General features: G+C 46.1%; 1 protein-coding gene across 2 annotated transcripts, besides 3 other annotated features; it reads right to left on the bottom strand.

Moving 5' to 3' along the window:
• Nucleotides 1–631: 631 nt before the first annotated feature.
• On the bottom strand, nt 632–20,096 carry DNTTIP1 (deoxynucleotidyltransferase terminal interacting protein 1). Of its 2 annotated transcripts, none has more exons than NM_052951.3 (13): nt 19,941–20,096; nt 19,303–19,373; nt 18,033–18,129; nt 16,607–16,705; nt 10,908–10,976; nt 10,592–10,648; nt 9,993–10,051; nt 8,672–8,717; nt 6,846–6,904; nt 6,684–6,744; nt 2,865–2,936; nt 1,110–1,165; nt 632–993 (listed from the first exon to the last, which is right to left on the bottom strand). In NM_052951.3, the coding sequence occupies exons 1-13, from the start codon at nt 20,043–20,045 to the stop codon at nt 855–857; spliced, it is 990 nt and encodes a 329-aa protein (NP_443183.1). In that variant the 5' UTR covers nt 20,046–20,096; the 3' UTR covers nt 632–854. The 2 variants fall into 2 exon arrangements, with proteins under 2 accessions (NP_443183.1, XP_024307591.1); XM_024451823.2 differs by lacking the exon at nt 19,941–20,096 and adding an exon at nt 19,774–19,862.
• Nucleotides 1,631–1,800: an enhancer, noted in NCBI's record as "experimental_60428 CRE fragment used in MPRA reporter constructs". NCBI's record gives its function as "activates a minimal promoter by MPRAs in K562 erythroleukemia cells, with activity observed for the non-introgressed 20:44438974 variant allele {active_cell/tissue: K562}" and the evidence as "EXISTENCE:reporter gene assay evidence [ECO:0000049][PMID:34662402]".
• Nucleotides 19,394–19,533: a silencer, noted in NCBI's record as "silent region_12961". NCBI's record gives its function as "represses an Ori minimal core promoter by ATAC-STARR-seq in GM12878 lymphoblastoid cells {active_cell/tissue: GM12878}" and the evidence as "EXISTENCE:reporter gene assay evidence [ECO:0000049][PMID:35858748]".
• Nucleotides 19,744–20,013: a silencer, noted in NCBI's record as "silent region_12960". NCBI's record gives its function as "represses an Ori minimal core promoter by ATAC-STARR-seq in GM12878 lymphoblastoid cells {active_cell/tissue: GM12878}" and the evidence as "EXISTENCE:reporter gene assay evidence [ECO:0000049][PMID:35858748]".

Here is a 20,165-nt window from a genome sequence, read left to right as displayed (position 1 = left end):
TAATCCCGAACACTTTGGAAGGCCCAGGCAGGAGGATCACTTGAACCCAGGAGTTCGAGACCAGCCTGAGCAACAGGATAGGGAGACCTGTCTCTACTTAAAAGAAAAAAAAAAAAAAAGAAAAGAAAAAAAAAAAAGGCTGGTGAGGTGGCACGAGCCTGTAGTCCCAGCTACTGGCGAGGCTGAGGCGGGAGAATCGCTTGAGCCAGAGGCTGCACTCTAGCCTGGGCAACAGAGCAAGACTGTCTTCAAACAAACAAAAACCCCAACAACACAGGTTCATATCCTGTATATCCTACCTCCCCAGTGGGTAGTGTGTAACCTTGGGGCGGGTCCTTTAGTATCTTAACCTGTAAAATGGGAGCAATAAAAGCCAACTCTATTTTTCATATGATCTGTCATCAAACTCCATCGCATTCTGCCATGTCCTTACATTAGCTGGGTAAGGAAACTACAAATGGGCAAAGGGAAGACGGGCAGGGTACATGGTGCTCCCAGGTTGGTCTTATCAAGCCTGGCTCTATACTGTTATGGGTGAGGGTTATCTCGTCCTTTTTTCCTACACCCACTTCTAGAGCCCTTGATGTTCTGTCAATTCCCACAAGGTAGAGGGCACAGCAGGTTCACCATCTGTGTTTACTACAAACTGTTTAATTGTTTCTTATCCCAATAACTTTACAAATATAGAACCACATGCTAGTCTGGGGGTGCTGTGCAGTGAGTCACTACAAACTCGCTCAGGCACAGCTTAATGCCGCTGAGATCCATCTAGGAGCAGTCCCAGCGGTGGCCTCAGCCACGTGAGGAAGAGGGCTTTGGAGGAGGGCTGCCAAGTGTGGCCAGGGGACCCGGCCTCAGGTCTGTGGAGGTGCTTCAACAGCACGATGCTCATTCTCTGTCCGTAGTGTCTCCATATACTTTCTCATCTTCTCCACCATCCAGGAGGGTAGGACAAAGGATTTCAATTCCTCTAGCTTCAGATCCAGGCATCCTCTGGAACAGACATTGAAGAGAGAAGTTGGGGGAAGTGAGGATGTAGGCCCTGCCTCATTCTAGGGGCTATTTGGAGGCAGGGAGAGGAGAAGGGGCAGGAGACCCACTGGTTTTACCTGTAATCATCACTGGCCGCAAGGTCCCGGATGTCCTCCTCGATGAGGAGGTAGGCCTGAGGCAGGAGCAAGGGAGAGTGGTCATTGCCTGATTCATTTCACTCCAACTCAGTAACACTTCATTAAACATCTGTTTAATGTAAGGCCTGCTACTAGGTGGAAGCGGGGGATGCGGTTTACAATTTAGTACGGAAGAGTAAGTGGGGAGGGATGGGAATGGTTCCTTGAGACAATCTTTTACTACAGTAGATGCTTCATGGATGGGAGAGTAGGGACTGGTGACTTATTTATAGCCTTCTCTTTTAAAAAAGGACCCATTTCTCTCTTGAATGGTGTGGTGAAAATTAAGAAAAAAAAAAAAAAAAGAAAAAAAGAAAAAAAAAGGGATCCACCATTGCTCCTACACCTTTTGGTTAAGATCAAGTATACGAAAGGACCCAAGGTGGGTTATAACAAAATGGCAAGAAAGCCAGCAAAATATATATGGAAACAGGAAATCAGGAAGAGGAAACCATGTGCTCCCTCTGAGGACAAAGATAACTTGGTTTTGAACTTTGTGGCAAAATGGAAAACATGATAAACTGCTCTGCTGTCTAGTAATTGGCCTGTATTGTACTGGGGCCTGTAGAAATGCTTTGTCACAATGCCTCGGTCTACAGTGGGTGAGGGCCCTTTTGTGAACTTAACATATAGGAAGAGATATTCATCATATTAGAAAGTCTTCTGTGGGAGACTTTCTAATGTTAGGGTCAGGAATAATTGTGTATTCCTTGAGTAATTTGTCTACATCTTATGGGCACTATGAACCATAACAGATCAGGTGTCCATGAGTGGGGCCTACAGCTGAATTTGCCAACATCTGTAGAAGTGCACAGGTCTCCCAGGTCAGCAATATAAAAAACACTTTTTTTTTTTAAAGAACTACTTTTACTGGTGGCTTAATTTTAGGTCCTGCCCCCACCCCCTACCATCTATTTCTTATTTATGTAATGTTGCATTTTATGTGCATGAAGCTTACCTGAAATCTTTTTTGAAGTAAAGCATAGGCATAAATAGAGTAGTAAAATAAAATAAAAGGTAGCTCTCACTGCCAGAAAGGAGATGGCATATCAGTTTGTAAGGCACTTAGATTCTAAAAGGAGCAGTACCTGTGGTGGGAGTGAGTGAGTCCTCAGGTGGGGGACATTGTGTGTGATGGACAAAGCCCTCAACAATAGTTTTTGAACACATGCAATGATGATTTTCCTAAGGTTGCTGTTTCATATGATCTGAGAACTCTTCAAGTAGAGGTAAATCTGGAAGGGGCTGCCAAGTGTGCAAACACATTTCATTGCTAACTCCTACTGACAAGGGTTGCTGCCTCAAGTACTGTGTTGAGAAAAGATTCTATAGCTGTGTCTGGTGGAAGAGTGATCAATGAGTGAAATCTGTCAGTGGGTGCAGTAGTGGGAAAAAGTAGTACTGTGTGTCTTATACCTGCTATTCCTATGGACAGCTAATAGTATCCAAATATGTGATCTTGGAGGCATGAGGTAAAAGTGTGAGGGGGCGGAAGGGAGACCTAGGGATAGGGAAGGGAACCTGAAGATTACAATTTGCTCTTCAGCATGAAGAAATAGGCCTTATAAGTCTCTCTTCTCACACATTGGTGAGGCTTTGGAAGTCAGATTTGGAGGTAGGCTGTCACCCACAGCCAAAATCCTGGTTCCCAGGTGGGGTGGGTCACTGGCAGTGGCACAAATGAATAATGCTTACCATCTTGCCCCCTGTTGCCCGCATGTGATGCTGCTCAGCCAGCCAGTGCTTATCCTGGGGGTCAGCTGCATACTGTAAGGAATGAAGTTGTAAGAAAATTAGCCTCGGGTAAGGGGCTTTTCTCATTTGGTCCCAGAGCATACTCTTGGCCCTTGAGCAGTTCTTACCAAAAGTCCTTGTCTCCAAGCGTGGTGGACTTAGAGGGCTCACTAATCTCTTCAGAGAAAGCTAAGCCAACCCCGAGGGCAGACCATGGGACCCAATTCCCAGAGACTTAGTATACTCCCAATCCCCACCCCCTTCTCACAACAAAGCACCCCGGGCAACTGGTGGGACTGATAACTATTATTTTAGAGCTTCCTCTTTTTAAAAAATGATCGGAGGTGGCTTATAACGTCTGTAATTATTATGGTGACCATAATAAAACAAAAATCGGGACACCTCATGTACTCTCGGACGCATAATAGCATCATGGTTAAGAATTCGGTTTTGGAGTTACAAATAAGGTTGGTTGGTTTATTGATTGATTGATTGATTGATCGATTGAGACGGAGTTTCACTCTTGTTGCCCAGGCTGGAGTGCAATGGCATGATCTTGCTTCATCACAACCTCCGCCTCCTGGGTTCAAGCGATTCTCCTGCCTCAGCCTCCCAAGTAGCTGGCACTACAGGCATGCGCCACCACGCCCGGCTAATTTTGTATTTTTAGTAGAGATGGGATTTCTCCATGTTGGTCAGGCTGGTCTTGAACTCCCGACCTCAGGTGATCTGCCCACCTCGGGCTCCCAAAGTGCTGGGATTACAGGTGTGAGCCACCGTGCCTGGCTGTTTATTTATTTATTGAGATGACGTCTCGCTCTGTTGTTCAGACTAGAGTGCAGTGGCATGATCTTGGCTCACCGCAACCTCCACCTCCTGGGTTCAAGCTATTCTTCTGCTTCAGCCTTGAATAGCTGGGATTACAGGCACGTGCCAACACACCCAGCTGATTTTTGTATTTTTAGTAGAGATGGGGTTTTGCCATGTTGGCCAGGCTGGTTTTGAACTCCTGGCCTCAACTGATCCACCCACTCAGTCTCCCAAAGTGTTGGGATTACAGGTATGAGCTACTGTGCTCAACCCAAATAAGGCTTAAATTCTGGTTTCTATTCTAGGTTGGGCACCTAGAAACCAGAATTTAAGCACCTTAAAAAAAAAATCGAGGAGTGAAGAGAAACTGATATATATATTTTTTGAGACAGAGTATTGCTCTGTCGCCCAGGTTGGAGTGCAGTGGCGTGATCTCGGCTCACTGAAACCTCTGCCTCCTGGGTTTAGGCAATTCTCCTGCCTCAGCCTCCCGAGTAGAGTAGCTAGGACTACAGGAGTGCACCACCATGCCCGGCTAATTTTTGTACTTTTAGTAGAGATGGGGTTTCACCATGTTGGCCAGGCTGGCCTTGAACTCCTGACCTCAGGTGACCCGCCTGCCTCGGGCTCCCAAAGTGCTGGGATTACAGGCGTGAGTCACTGCACCTGGCTGAGAAACTGTGTTTTGCTCTCTACTACCTCCTGTGTATCGTCTGAATCTTTTTACCACGGGAATGGGTTTATATATTATTTCTATAATCAAAACATTTAAAAAAGGAAAAGAATTTGAATAATGCCTTCTGAAGGAGAGAAAAATGGGCAAAAGATATAACAGGCAGCTTACAGAAGAAATACAAATAGATTCTAAATGACTGAAAAGATACTTATAATCACTAATAGAGAATTTGTAAAGTTGGGCCAGGTGCAGTGGCTCAAGTCTATAATTCCAGCACTTTGGGAGGCTGAGGCTGTGGATCATCTGAGCTCAGGAGTTTGAGAGCAGCCTGGCCAAGATGGTGAAACCCCATCTCTACTAAAAATACAAAAATTAGCCGGGCATGGTGGTGGGCACCTGTAATCCCAGCTACTCGGGAGGCTGAGGCAGACAATTGCTTGAACCCAGGAGGTGGAGGATGCGGTGAGCTGAGATCGCGCCACTGCACTCCAGCCTGGGTGACAGAGCAAGACTCCGTCTCAGAAAAAAAAAAATGGTTGGTCTATCACTATTCTCATTTTATACAGGACAAAAACAGACTCAGAAATGTGGATCAATTCCCAGACTTGAGCTAGTTAAAAAAAAAGAAAAAAGAAAAACAAATGTGGAGCCATTTGTTCAAGTTCATGCAGCTAGTAAAATAATGGAACCAGGCCTGAAGCCATACTTTAAACCACGCTGAAGTGGGAATTCAAAGTAGGTCCAAAAGCATATTGATTTTGGGGATGATACAAACAAAGCTCTTGGAGGAGGTGGATCTTAAAGAATAGTCAGGCAGATAAGGGTGGGAGAGAAAGGCCACCCAGGCAATGGGAATAGCAAGAGTGACGACATTAAGAGAGGAAAACAAAGGAGCCACTGGGCAAACTGTTTAAGTGTTGGGACTCGAGGATATCAGACTGGAGAAGAAGCGTGAGCAGGTATGCCTTTCAAAGAACTTGAAAACTTGCACAGAATGTGGTAGAGAAAGCCCGTGATTCTGGGATCCCACAGGGCTGTGCAGTTCTGGCAAGAGGTGCCAAGCCTTACGTATAAGTGCAAAAAACCATGTGTGGAACACACATGCACTGCTATTCTTCTAATCTACTTCGATGCTCTCGTGACTGATAAAATACAAAATCATCTAAGAGGGTGAGTGAGTTTATGATTTCCTCCATTATTCCCTCAAACAGTGGGGACCAAAACATAGCTGCTCTCAGAAGAGGAGTACCCTCTTTGAAAAGGCACAGGACCCTGCCTTGCTCCAAACTCTATTTTTTTTTTTTTGAGATGGAGTTTTGCTCTGTTGCCCAGGCTGGAGTGCAATGGTGAGATCTTGGCTCACTGCAACCTCTGCCTCCTGGGTTTAAGCGATTCTCCTGCCTCAGCCTCCTGAATAGCTGGGATAACAGGCATGCGCCATCATGCCCAGCTAATTTTTGTATTTTTAGTAGAGACGGGGTTTCTCCATGTTGGTCAGGCTGGTCTCGAACTCCCGACTTCAGGTGATCCGCCAGCCTCAGCCTCCCAAAGTGCTGGGATTACAGGCGTGAGCCACTGTGCCAGACCCCAGAGTTATTTTAAAATGCAAATATGAGGGCAGTGTGATCTCGGCTCACCACAACCTCCGCCTCCTGGGTTCAAGCGATTCTCCTGCCTCAGCCTCCTGAGTAGCTGGAATTATAGGCATGAGCCACCATGCCAGCTAATTTTGTATTTTTAGTAGAGACAGGGTTTCTCCATGTTGGTCAGGCTGGTCTCGAACTCCCAACTTCAGGTGATCCACCCGCCTTGGCCTCCCAAAGTGCTGGGATTACAGGTGTGAGCTCACGCACCTGGCCCAAACTCTAATTTACAGACAACCAAATATGGTAGTGGTTAAGAGCTCAGGCTTTGGTGAGGACAGACCTGGATTTGAATCCTGACTCACCATTTCTAGCTGAATAACTGTGGGCAAGTCACTCAGCCTTTCTCAACCTCTGATTGTTTCAAATTTGTGAAATAAGGATGGCAATACTTATTTTTTAAGATAATATAAGTGTGGGATTTAAAACTGTGTTTGGCACCCAGTAAGCATGCAAGCAAAGTAGCTGTTATTACTGAGGCACAGAGGTGTTGAGTAAATCATGAAAGGGAAAGGTGAATGGCAGAGGCACAACTAGAACCCAGATGTCCTGACTCCAAGATCAGTGTTTGTTCTAAGCTTCTCTGTGCTGAGTGGAGTTCCCAGTCTACTCCCAATGCAATGGCCTGCTTTCCTCCCAGCAGTCACCTACCTTAAAGAGGTGTGGGTGCTTGATGTAGATTCTTCCTCTGGTGCCCCCCATCCCCAGGGCTCTGAAAAGTAAAAGCCAAGTGGTCAAGATTCCAGAAAGTGTAGTCCTACTAGTGAACTCCTGAGCTGTTTCCTCAATCAGTGCCAAAGCTCTTAAACTTACTTGTTGGCTCGAGATCCCAACACAAAGGTGGTAGATTCATTCAGGCGAGCTGGGTCCCACTGTGCAAAAAATAGAGAAGCTCGTGAGGGTGAAGTTTAATCTGATGGGTAGGACAGAAACACTCCTCCCCCTACCCTTTTCTAACCCTTCCCCTTGTCTATTATTTAATCAACAGTTGACCCAAGACACTGAGTACTCACAATATGCTAGGCCCTGTCTGTGCTAGATACTGGGGATAAAGAGATGAATAAGATACAGTCTCTGTTTTCTAGGATGCCACCAACATATGTACAGATAATTACACCATTGTGCGATGAGGCAAGGACACAAGTGAGTGCAGGGTCTGAGGGCTGCCGAGGGGAGGGTCCAGCCAGGAAGGCTTCCTTAGAGAGGCATTTCCCAAGTTAATTCTGAAAGGGTGAGCACAAGTTGGGGTAAAGGGGGTCAGGAACAAGGGCATTCCAGACAGGGGGCAGCATGAGCAAAGACAGGTGAGAGGCAGCTTGGCCTGCTGGAGAAACTACTAGTAATTCTGTGCTGCTAACAGAGAGAGTACAAATTAGGGAGTGGCAGCTGATGGGGCTGGAGAGAGAAACACAGAGGAGTTGGAGGTCTTAGGAGGTTATGTTCAGGGGACTGCATTTTATTTCTTCTGTAGGCAATGGGGAATCGCTGAAGGCCTCTAAACAGGGAGTGAGAGTCAGATTTCCTTTAAAGATAGCTTAGTCTTCTAGCAATGTGGATAATGGATTTGAAGGGGCAAGACTACAGGCAGGGAGAGCAGTTTAGAGGCCGCTGTGATAAAGCAGTTGGAAAGCTGCTAAGGGCCTGAGCTAGGGCAGCAGTAAGGATGAACAGAAGGAAATAGGAACTGCAATATATTTAAGAGGAAGAATTGTCCAGGACTCGACTGGGTGTAGGGAGGTAAGGAAGAGGAGGAGGAGGCAAAGATGATTAAGATAACGAATGTAAAGAAGGGCTGTGAGGAAAGATTCTAATTTCATGTTTGGATATGCTGAGTCTGAAATGCCTATGAAACTTCCAGCAGAGTGGTCAAGCAGATAGTAGGATAAACAAGTTTTAAAGTAGAAAGAGGCATGGGATGGACAAAGAGGTATGGGAGTTTTAGAACATGGTGGTCCCTGAAACCATAAGAGTATATGTTTTAGATTATCCAGAGAGTTACTTTAGATGGAGAAGTGGGCCAAGGAGAGAATTCTGGGGAACAACCATTTATATAAGTCACTGCTGAGGAAGAACTCAGGAGAGAGAGGGAGGCAACAGAGGCTAATGGTTGAGAGCACAGACTCTGGTGTCAGCGGGTCTTGGGTTTGAGACTCAGCTCGATCACTTACGAGTTATGTGACTTTGGGCAAGTCTTAAGTGCATTAAGTGTATAAGACAACTGAATAAAATAATTTATGCCCACAGGGAAGCTGGCAGAAAAGGAAACGCCTCATTTATAGAATGGTTCACAGAATTGATCTCATAAGTTTGTTATAAAGATTAAATGAGATGGTCTACACAAAAGATTTAGGACACTGCCCGTTACATACTAAGTATTGAATCAGTATTAGTGACCACTAACTCCTATAAGGAGAAGGCTTCAGCAAAGACTCAAGCCCTCTCTTTGTTTTGCCTCTAACTCCAATTCCTACACAGGATCCTCTCTGAGGCCAGTGTGGCTGGAGGTGGAGAGGGGCAGATGGCTCTGGAATGGTGTGCATGCACCCTTCGCCCCCTGCCCCTTTCCCTCATGGTGGGTCCTAGAGATAGTGGGACTATCTCCTGGGATCGTGATCTCTGCCATGCTCACATAATCATACCTTGGGGCCTTCCCGGCGAATTGGTTCACAGGATTTTGGTTTCCATCTGCTTGGAAGGAAAGAATAAAGGTGAATTCTCCAAGGTGAGACCTAGGACTAAATGCCAGCTTGCTGGTGGTGGTAGGAGTTCCTCACACACTCTCACTTTAGCCCTGGACATCCTCCTTCGTGGTGACACATAAGAGGAGGAACAAAGGGAAAAAAAGCACTGGACTAGAAGCCATTCTAGCACTAGCTCTGCTCTTACATAGTGGCATGAGCAACTCCAAGAACCTCTGAGTGGCAGTTTTCTCATCTGTCAAAAGAGACAAAAACAGCAACTGCCCTACCTATCTTGTGTTTGTGAGGAATAAAACTGCTTCGTGTAGGAGACACATCTAAGGTATGACAGTTAATACTAGCCCATCTACTAAGCCAGCTGTTCCAAACTAACCCCACGCCCCTGAACCAGACCAGTGTGGCTTTATTTGATTTAAATACTGGGCTCCCATGTAAAGTTTTGTTTGAAAAAGATTCTGCTGCTTCAGAATTTTTTTTAAAAAGTGGGGTTGGGGGTTGGTTGAGGGGGAAGGAAGGATGAACAGGCAGAACACAGAGGATTTTTAGGGCACTGAAAGCACTCAGTGTGATACTAGAATGGTGGATGCCTGTCACTATGCATTTGTCTAAGTTCATGTACAATACCAAGAGTGAACCCTCATGGAAACTATGCACTCTGAGGATCAAGACGAGTCAAAGTAGGCTCATCAAATGTAACAAATGTACCACTCTGGTGCCTGATGTCGATAATGGGGGAGGCTGTGCATGTGTAGGGTCAGGGAGTATACGGGATATGTCTGTACCTTCCTCTCAATTTTGCTGTGAACCTAAAACTGCTCTAAAAAAATTAAGTCTTAAAAAAATATATATTTGAAAATGACCGTCTTGGAGGCAATGTTAACGATATGACATTAGGCAAGTAATTCTCTGAGTCTGTTATCTGAAAAATTAATGATATCTTCTTTACAGGGTGGCTATAAAGATTAAAAGGTAAAGTATGTAACGTATTTAGACCAGTCATAAGCATCCAATATATACTAACAATGACAAACCTCTGGAGTTTAATCTTTCATCAAGCTGGGCCAAACCGTTCAGGGGGTAAAACAATTTCCTCCTCACTACCCTCCTTCCTCACCCCTCCAACCAGGATAACCCCCCTCCACGATGACTTAAGCTGATGGATCTGATTTTGACAGGCACAGAACCCTGGACTCTTTTCCTTCAGGGCCCCTCTCTCCGTCTGCTCCCCTATGCTCTCACCACACTGTTGGTCCCTACTCACACCATGCCGGCGGCTGCCCGGTCGCTTGACAGGATGTGTCCAGGAGGCCGTCCTTTCCTCTGCCACAAAAAACAGCTGTCAGAGGTCTGACCCTGTGGTTACTCCCCATACCCCATTGGCAGGTCCAGGGTCACTTGGCAGAGATGGTTTTCCAAAGAGATCAAATGATGTTTGACAGGGACAGGGAGAAAAACTGCCTCTCATGTCTAGGAAGGCTCAAAAGGGCTTTGAGGAAGCCCAGTACCTTGCGGAGTGAAGAGCCTTTTTTGAGAGACAGGGTCTTACTCTGTTACTCAGCCTGGAGTGCAGTGGCATGATCATAGCTCACTACAGCCTTGAACTCCTGGGCTCAGGTGATCCTCCCACTGCAGCCTCTCATGTAGCTAGGACGACAGAAATGTGCCAGCATGCCTGGCTAATTTTTTTTTTATTTTAGAGACAGGGTCTCACTATGTTACCCAGACTGGTCTCAAAACTCCTGAGCTCAAGTGATCCTCCCCGCTTGGCCTCCCAAAGTGTTGGGATTACAGGTGTGAGCCACCACACCCGGCCTGACAAGCCTTTTTTCAGCCAGAAAACAAAACAAGGAAATGGTTTACCTTTTTAGGAAGGGGGCTTCCTCGATGGGCACATTCTTCTTCTGCCTGACGGCCACGCTAAAAGAAAAGGGAAGGGAGTCAGTGGAAGGCCAGTGCCTGGGAGCTGCAGGTCTTCTGGAGTTGCAGAAGACAGCCCTGGACTACAGCTCTCCAGCCCCGCTCTGACCCAGGCCAAAGAAGCCCATCCAGCATGATGCTGTGTGGGCCTGGTCCTACAAATGGAAGTACATGGAACCTCCCTGGGCCCACATATTTCACTTGCCTCCCAGCCTGAAGGACCTCCCGCTCCAATACCCGAGAACACAGTGACTCTGACCTTTATTCCTGGAAGCTCATGGGTCAATCTGGGTATTACTTTTTCTCCATCTGAAAAGAGCAGTTTAGCCTGAAGGGAAAAAGACCAAGTGTTACCAGTCACTATTTTGGTGGGTAAGCACACCCTACCTACTTCCTTTTTTTTTTTTGGAGACAGAGTCTTGCTCTGTTGCTCAGGCTGGAGTGCAGCAGCACCATCTTGGCTCTCTGCAACCTCCATCTCCTGGGTTCAAGTGATTCTCATGCCTCAGCCTCCAAAGTAGCTGGGACTACAGGGGTGCGCCACCATACCCAGCTAATTTTTGTATTTTTGGAAGAGACGGGATTTCACCATGTTGGACAGGCTGGTCTTGAACTCCTGACCTCAAGTGATCGGCCCACTTCCAAATATATATATATATATATATATATATATATATATATATATATATATATATATATATATATATTTTTTTTTTTTTTTTAAATTGAGATGGAGTTTCACTCTTGTCGCCCAGGCTGGAGTGCAGTGGTGCTATCTCAGCTCACTGCAACCTCCGCCTCCTGGGTTCAAGCGATTCTCCTGCCTCAGCCTCCCAGGCAGCTGAGATTACAGGTGCCCACCACCATGCCCAGCTAATTTTTGTATTTTTATTAGAAACGGGGTTTCACCATGTTGGCCAGGCTGGTCTCGAACTCTTAACCTCAGGTGATCCACCTGCCTTGGCCTCCCAAAGTGCTGCGATTACAGGCATGAGCCACCACGCCCAGCCACACACATATATATATTTATATGCATAGAAATAGATATCTATTTTTAAAAAAACTTGAATTAATGATCATGGCTGGAAAAATTAAAAAATGTAAAAAAGCAAAATAAGAAAAACCTGGAATCTCATTACATAAACTACTATTAATGTTTCAATGTAAATTCTTCCTTGCTTTTCCCATGTAAATACATACTGTATGTTTTTTCAAACTAAATACATTAGTATAACACATACTCCTCAGTAAGCTGCTGTTTTTCTTTTTTCTTTTTTTTTTTGACATGGAATCTTGCTCTGTTGCCCAGACTGGAGTACAGTGGTGCGATCTCGGCTGTCTGCAATCTCCGCCTCCCAGGTTCAAGCAATTCTCCTGCCTCTGCCTCCTGAGTAGCTGGGATTACAGGCGTGCAACCACACCCAGCTAATTTTTTTTTTTTTTTTTTTTGGTATTTTTAGTAGAGATGGGGTTTTATCACGTTGGCTAGGCTAGTCTCACACTTCTGACCTCGTGATCTGCCCGCCTCAGCCTCCCAAAGTGTTGGGATTACAGGCGTGAGCCAGTGCGCCTGGCCTGCTGTTTTTCTTTTAATAAATACTGAGTACCTGGGACCTAAGTGCTGTGGACACAGCAGTAACTAGGACAAGCTCTTGTGGAGCTTATAGTTTGTGGGTGATCTGGATAATAAGCACAGAAACAAACAAGGTAACTGTGGATCATGATAGATGCTGTGAGAAAAAAAGAAAAAAACCCAGGCAGATGTGACAGAGAACCACCAGAGGGGAAGGGCTACTTTGCGGGAATGGCCAGGGAAGGCCTTGCTCAGAAGGTGGCCTCTGAGTTGAGATGTGAAGGAGGCTGTAAAAAAAGCTGGGCAGAAGTGTTTCAGCAGCAGGGAGGAGTGCAGAAGCTCAAAGGTGGGAACACCTGGCTCATTTGACAAAGAAAAGGATGGAATGGGCAGAGGGGAGATGGTGCAGCAGGTGGAGAATTGGGTTCACCCGACCTCTGCCAGTGGCATTTGACAGTGCTGAGGGCTCCCCCTTCTGGAAACACTCTTTTCTACAGGCTCCTGTGGCCACACTTCCTGTGTTCCTTCTACTTCTCTGGCCGTTCTTTCTTAGCCTTCTTTGCTGGCTTTTCCTTCTCAATCTGGTTCTTTTCCCTATCCTCTCTCATTACATATTCTATCTGCTCTCACCTATTCTCACAGCTTCAATTAACATCTATAAACCACGATTCCATAATTCAACTGTAGACAAAAGGTTATCCTCTGAGCTCTAGACTTATATACCAAATAGTCTGCCCCATGTCTATGCTTGGATGGCTCAAAGCTGCTAATCCATAATTGGATTCATGCTCTTCTCCTCCAAACTTTGTCCCTTTCCAGTGAAGGGTGATCAAGTCTCAATGTGTAATTATGCACACATTTGTTGGTAATCTAATTCACACCTGTCTGCTTAAGTAGGCTGTTAAGTTCTATTAGAGCAGGAAGCTTGTTTGTTCATTTATCATTTGTTTGTTCCTTCATTTACTCAATAATTCAGCAAACTCTGTACACATACTAAGAGTCATATTCCAGGGCTGGGAATACAGTGGTGAACAAGATTAGGCCTCAACTCTTGTAAAGCTCAAGATTTTAGCAGAGGTAGGAGTGCGAGGGGAAGACCTCTCTGATATTTAAACTAAGATCTGAAGAAAAGAAGGAGCCGGCTTTATAGAGTTAAGGGTAGAGTACCCCAGGTACTAAGAACAGCAAGTGAAATGGCCTAAGCTTGTGCTGGAGGAGCAGAAAGGAGTTCAGAACAGCCAGAGTATAGTCAATAAAAAAGAGGTGAGATGAAATGAAGTTAAAGAAGCAGGCAGAAGCCAGTCGAGGGTAGGCTCTGTGGGTCATGGTAAGGCATTTTTTTTTAAATTATACTTTAAGTTTTAGGGTACATGTGCACAACATGCAGGTTTGTTACATATGTATACATGTGCCTTGTTGGTGTGCTGCACCCAGTAACTCGTCATTTAACATTAGGTATATCTCCTAATGCTATCCCTCCCCCCTCCCCCAACCCCACGACAGGCCCCGGTGTCTGATGTTCCCTTTCCTGTGTCCATGTGTTCTCATTGTTCAATTCCCACCCATGAGTGAGAACATGCGGTGTTTGGTTTTTTGTCCTTGTGATAGTTTGCTGAGAATGATGGTTTCCAGCTTCATCCATGTCCCTAAAAAGGACATGAACTCATCACTTTTTATGGCTGCATAGTATTCCATGGTATATATGTGCCACATTTTCTTAATCCAGTCTATCATTGTTGGACATTTGGGTTGGTTCCAAGTCTTTGCTATTGTGAATAGTGCCACAATAAACATATGTGTGCATGTGTCTTTATAGCAGCATGATTTATATTCCTTTGGGTATATACCCAGTAATGGGATGGCTGGGTCAAATGGTATTTCTAGTTCTAGATCCCTGAGGAATCGCCACACTGACTTCCACAATGGTTGAACTAGTTTACGGTCCCACCAACAGTGTAAAAGTGTTCCTATTTCTCCACATCCTCTCCAGCACCTGTTGTTTCCTGACTTTTTAATGATCACCATTCTAACTGGTGTAAGATGGTATCTCATTGTGGTTTTGATTTGCATTTCTCTGATGGCCAGTGATGATGAGCATTTTTTCATGTGTCTTTTGGCTGCATAAATGTCTTCTTTTGAGGAGTGTCTGTTCATGTCCTTTGGCCACTTGTTGATGGGGTTGCTTGTTTTTTTCTTGTAAATTTGTTAGAGTTCATTGTAGATTCTGGGTATTAGCCCTTTGTCAGATGAGTAGATTGCAAAAATTTTCTCCCATTCTGTAGGTTGCCTGTTCACTCTGATGGTCATTTCTTTTGCTGTGCAGAAGCTCTTTAGTTTAATTAGATCCCATTTGTCAATTTTGGCTTTTGTTGCCATTCCTTTTGGTGTTTTAGTCATGAAGTCCTTGCCCATGCCTATGTCCTGAATGGTATTGCCTAGGTTTTCTTCTAGGGTTTTTATGGTTTTAGGTCTAACATTTAAGTCTTTAATCCATCTTGAATTAATTTTTGTATAAGGTGTAAGGAAGGGATCCAGTTTCGGCTTTCTACATATGGCTAGCCAGTTTTCCCAGCAGGATCATGGTAAGGCATTAAGACTTTATTCTCCCTGCAACAGGAAAGTCACTGAAGGGTTTTTAAAATGGGGAGTGACATGATCTAATTCATCTTTACGGAGATCAGTCTGGCTGCTGTGAGAAGAGTGGATTGGAACTGGGTAACGGTGAATGTAACTCTGGACTGAGATATAAATGTGTGAATTATGAGCGGCTGAATTGGCTTCCAAGCCACAGGACTAGATGAAAACACCTATGAAAACAGTGAGCCATGAAAGAGAAGGGGTTTGAGGACTGAACTTGGGAAGGCACCAACAGTTAGAGGCGGGGGGTGAGAGAGAAGAGTAGGCAATGAGGTTGGAGCAAAGTCAAGGCACTCTAGCCAACAGAGGAGCATTCCAAGAAACGCGAAATGATCCATTGTGACAGATGTCACTGAGAAGCTGAGTAAGTTGAGGACAGTTAGGGACCAGAGGGTTTGACAACACGGAAGTTACTAGCGACCCCGACAAGAGGGGTTCCAGTGAAGTAGTGGGGACTGAAGCGAAAACAAAGTGAAGAGAATGAATAGGAGGTGAGAAAGTGAGCCAGCGACTATTGGCGACCTTTCCTGATGTCTCCCTATAAAATGGTGATGGCAACAATTCCTCCTAATAACAGCAGCTGACACATGTAAACAGGTTCTCTACTATCTTGGGAACAGTCATTTATAGACCTGATGTCATGCTTCCTGACCACACCAGAGAGGCAGGGAGGCAGCAGGGTGCTCATCCCCATGATACCAAATGGGGCCATGATAACTTGATCCACCACGCACCTGCAGGGGTGAGACAGATCTTAGCTATTCTAATTATTATGTGTCTTAAGCCATTTCTTTTTTTTTTTTTGCTTTGCTTTTAAAAATTTTTTTCTAGCTCTATTGATGTATAATTGATAAACAGAAATGGTATATATTCAAGGTGTACAATGTGATGAATTGACATAGATATACATAGTGAAATGATTACCACAATGAAATCAATCAACACATCCACCACTACCATTTTGTGTGTGGACACTTAAGATCTATGGTCTTAGCAAATTTCAAGTAAACAATAGAGATAAACTATAGTCATCATGCTGTACATCAGATTGCCCAGAACTTGTTCATCTTATAACTAAAAGTTTGTACCCTTTGATTAACATCCCCCCACTTCTCCCCTCCAGCTACTGCCATTCTACTCTCTGCTTCTATGAGTTTGCTAAGTCACAATTTCTTCATCTATAAAATAGTAATTAAAAGATATCTTCTGTACATAGTTTCTTCTGAGACATAAAAAAAAATAATGCATTTATCCTGGTACCTGACATATAGTAGCTACTTCCCTTCCTTTCCCTGTCAGCAACAGCCTCAAGCCTATCTCAATATGTGGCTTGCTGGGCATTCCCCAAAATACCACTGATGACAAGATCACATTTCTTTTTTTGTTTGTTTTTGAGACAGAATCTTGCTCTTTCACCCAGGCTGGAGTGTAGTGGTGCCATCTCGGCTCACCGCAACCTCTGTCTCCCAGGTTCAAGCGATTCTCGTGCCTATGGCTCCCAAGCAGCTAGGATTATAGGCGTGCACCACCATGCCCAGCTAATTTTCGTATTGTTTGTAGAGATGGGGTTTAGCCACGTTGCCCAAGCTGGTCTCAAACTCCTGGCCTTGAGTGATCTGCCCACCTTGGCCTCCCACAGTGCTGGGATTACATGTGTGAGCCACCACGTCCGGCTTAAGATCGCATTTCTTATCAGAGGCTCGAGAGCTAAACCTTGTGCCTGCATCTCTTGTCCCCTTTGGTCTCACCTGCTCCAGGCAGCTCCGACAGGCTTCCTGGATCAGCTGCTCTGCGTCCACCTCCTCCCCAACATTGTCTCGCACGTTCAGTGCTGCCTTCTGGAAGAACTAGGGGAGCACAACAGAGGACAAGGTCAGAGTCCTGTTAATGTGCATCAACCTGAAGGAAACTGAATATAAAATAAGTCTTTATCCTAGCTTCATACAGAAGGGAAAAGTGATTATGAGCAGGGCTTTGGGATCAGCCAGATTTAGATTCACATTTCAGGCTTGACCTCCTCCCTTTATTCCCCCTCTTACGGATATAATCGTGGGGGTGCCCAACAGATTGAGGTGTAAATAGTGCAAAAAATCAGGACGGGCGCGGTGGCTCACACCTGTAATCCCAGCACTTTGCGAGGCCGAGGTGGGCGGATCACGAGGTCAGGAGATCGAGACCATCCTGGCTAACACGGTGAAACCCCGTCTCTACTAAAAATACAAAAAATTAGCTGGGCGTGGTGGCGGATGCCTGTAATCCCAGCTACTTGGGAGGCTGGGGCAGAGAACTGCTTGAACCCAGGAGGCGGAGGTTGCAGTGAGCCAAGACCGTGCCACTGCACTCCAGCCTGGCGACAGAGTGAGACTCTGTCTCAAAAAAAAAAAAAAAAATTTTTTTTTTTTTTTAGTAGAGATGAGGTCCCACTGTGTTGCCCAGGCTGTTCTCAAACTCCTGGCCTCAAGTGATCCTGCCTCGGCCTCCCAAAGTGCTGGGGTTGCAGGTGTGAGCCACTGTGCATGGCCCCAATAATGGTTATATTATTAAACAACTAATAAGAATACTTATTGGACACTTGTTATGTCTGGAGCACAGTGCTCAGCACAGTACATTTAAGTCACTTCATCCTTATAAGAGGTCAGCAAAAAAAACCACGTGCGTGACAAGGGCAGATTTTAAAAAAAAAAGGTATCTGAATTACCCTCAAGGAGGGAATAAAATTCTTGGGGGATTAAAAATTTGAAAACTGACCAGGTGCCCTGGCTCACACCTATAATCCCAGCACTTTGGGAGGCCAAGGCAGGCAAATCATTTGAGGTCAGGAGTTCGAGACCAGCCTGGCCAACAGTGAAACCCCGTCTCTACTAAAAATACAAAAATTAGCCCTGCAAGGTGGTGGGCACCTGTAATCCCAGCCACTAGGGAGGCTGAGGCATGAGAATCGCTGGAACCTGGGAAGTGGAGGTTGCGGTGAATCGATATTGTGCCACTGCACTCCAGCCTGGGTGACAGAGTGAGAATCTGTCTCAAAAACACAAAACAAAACAAAACAAAAACAACAAGAAAGGAAAACTTTAGATATCTGTATGTAGGAAAGAGACAGACTGGTGATGCAGGCAAGGACTGGGCTCCTCATGAGTCTTTCTCCTGTTATTTTTTATCCTGTGTCCCTCTCACCTTCATGTACTTGTTGAAGACAGTCTGGATCTCCTCGTTGATGCTGGGCTGCAGGACAGCTCGGAGGAGATCCATGGAGATGGCAGGATCTGTGAAACTGCATTCAGGAGGGAGACAGGGTGAGGGGGCATGTCCCAAACATATTCTTTCCCAGCCTCCCCAGTTAATTATGGACATAGAATTCCTTAACAATACTAGACAGCTTTTATTGAAAACTAGCTACATGCTCAGATTTTGTGCAAATCACAGAGGCATGACTTTATTTCTTTCTCATAATAACTCTATGAAGTGCATATTATTTTCAAAGTTTTTTTTTTTGAGACGGAGTCTCACTCTGTTGCCCAGGCTGGAGTGCAGTGGCGTGGTTTTGGCTCACTGCAACCTCTGCCTCCTGGGTTCAAGCAATTCTCCTGCCTCAGCCTCCTTAGTAGCTGGGATTACAGGTGTGCACCACCACGCCCGGCTAATTTTTGTATTTTTAGTAGAGACCGGGTTTCTCCATTTTGGTCAGGCTGGTCTCGAACTCCCAACCTCAGGTGATCTGCCCGCCTCAGACTCCCAAAGTGCTGGGATTACAGGCGTGAGCCACCGCGCCCGGCCAATTTTTTGTTATTTTTAGTAGAGACGGGGTTTCTCCATGTTGGTCAGGCTGTTCTGGAAGTCCCGACCTCAGGTGATCCACCCACCTCAGCCTCCCAAAGTGCTGGGATTACAGGCGTGAGCCACCGCGCCCGGCCCAAAGTGTTTTTATGAAATATAATACTTATACAGAAAAGTCTATACACTTTAATGAGTAATTATAGTGAACATCCATTTCACCACTATCAGCATCCCAAAGGCCCACCTTGTGCTCTCTCCCTTCCCTGACATGCATACTATTAATCCCTCTTTATAGTTGAGAAAACGGGCTCATCAGAGTCTGTTGATGAGAACACAGTTGTCTGACTCCAGAGCCTGTTCTCTTAAACTCCATGCTAACTGACCTCTTTAGAGCCCTCAACCACAGAGCCAGTGAATGTGAGGGATCTTAGGTATTGTTTATTCCACAACCCATCTCCTGTGCCCTTCCCCATTTTGTACGTGAGTTCAGAGAAGGAAGTGACTTGACTAGTTCAAGATCACACAGAGTTACAGAATCGGAGTCTCCTCTTCCTCAGTCCTGTGCTCTTTCTACCGGCTGTAGATCTCCATAGCCTTGTGCACTGGGGATCCCAAATCTGCCATGCAAGCCAGTGGCTGGGATATAAGCCCCATGCAGGGCCAGCCTTACCTTGTTGTCATCTGTGAGCGGCGGCCCCTCCGCTGCACCTGCCGGTGCTTTATCATTATGTTCCAAGGGTTCTGTGGGGACCAACGGAACAAATGTCACTGCGGCCTGTGACACTGGGGTGGGGTGGAGGTGGAGGGTGGGTATGAAGTTAAACCTGGACATCCCTGCTTCTCAGATCCGTCACCATCTCTCCCGCCTTGGGGTGGGACGATAGTTGTAAGGCCTCCTCCACAAAAGAGGAACTGAGGAAGTTTCCTGCCTTAAAAGTCCCGACCCTGCCTTCTGGCACGGCAGGAGGAAGGGAAGCAGTATTTACCGAGGGTCAACTCTGTGTCAGGTGATGTCCGGGGCGTTGTACCCGCCTTTATCTTCCCATCCCACAACAAGTTTTATGAGACAGGTACTAATCATTTCCATTTTATAGAAGAGGATCCTGGGACTCAGGGGGTTGACAGAGATGGCCCACGTCACCTAGCTAGGAGGGCGGCACCAGAATTTAAATCCAGGTCGTCGGGCTGCGAAAACGCCAACCCCCTCTGCAGCTCCAGCCTCCGCGTTCTCTCGCCCGCGGGCCAGGGTCCCAGGAGCCCCGAGGCCGTGCCCGGCCTGAGCCCAGACCTCACCGGGGGCGCCCTCACCGTAAGAACCAGCTGCCCCGCTGCGCCCGCATCCCCCAGCTCCAAGCCGCCCCTCTCGGCCCCGCTAGGTCCCCGCGGCTGCTCGGCGTCGCCAGTGGCTCCCATGGCGCCCCCGGCCCCCACAACTCCGCTGGACTCTGTCACCGGCCGGAAAGTGGCGCCGTGACGTCACTGGAGCGCGCTGCTCGTCCGCCCGGAAGCGCGACGCTGGAGCTGCGGGGTTAC

Source organism: Homo sapiens, chromosome 20, assembly GCF_000001405.40.
Source record: "Homo sapiens chromosome 20, GRCh38.p14 Primary Assembly".
In the NCBI taxonomy this organism is placed as follows: Eukaryota; Metazoa; Chordata; class Mammalia; order Primates; family Hominidae; genus Homo; species Homo sapiens.
This window is presented reverse-complemented; position numbering and strand designations above follow the sequence as displayed.

Bases quoted from the DNA above. Each gene is read 5' to 3' on its own strand.
- DNTTIP1 (NM_052951.3), bottom strand. From the start codon at position 20,045: ATGGGAGCCACTGGCGACGCCGAGCAGCCGCGGGGACCTAGCGGGGCC. The intron at 8,718-9,992 runs GTGAGTAGGGAC...CCTTCCAAGCAG, and splicing joins CGGGCAGCCGCCGGCATGGT to ATGGAAACCAAAATCCTGTG. The intron at 994-1,109 runs GTAAAACCAGTG...TGTCTGTTCCAG, and splicing joins GCGGCCAGTGATGATTACAG to AGGATGCCTGGATCTGAAGC.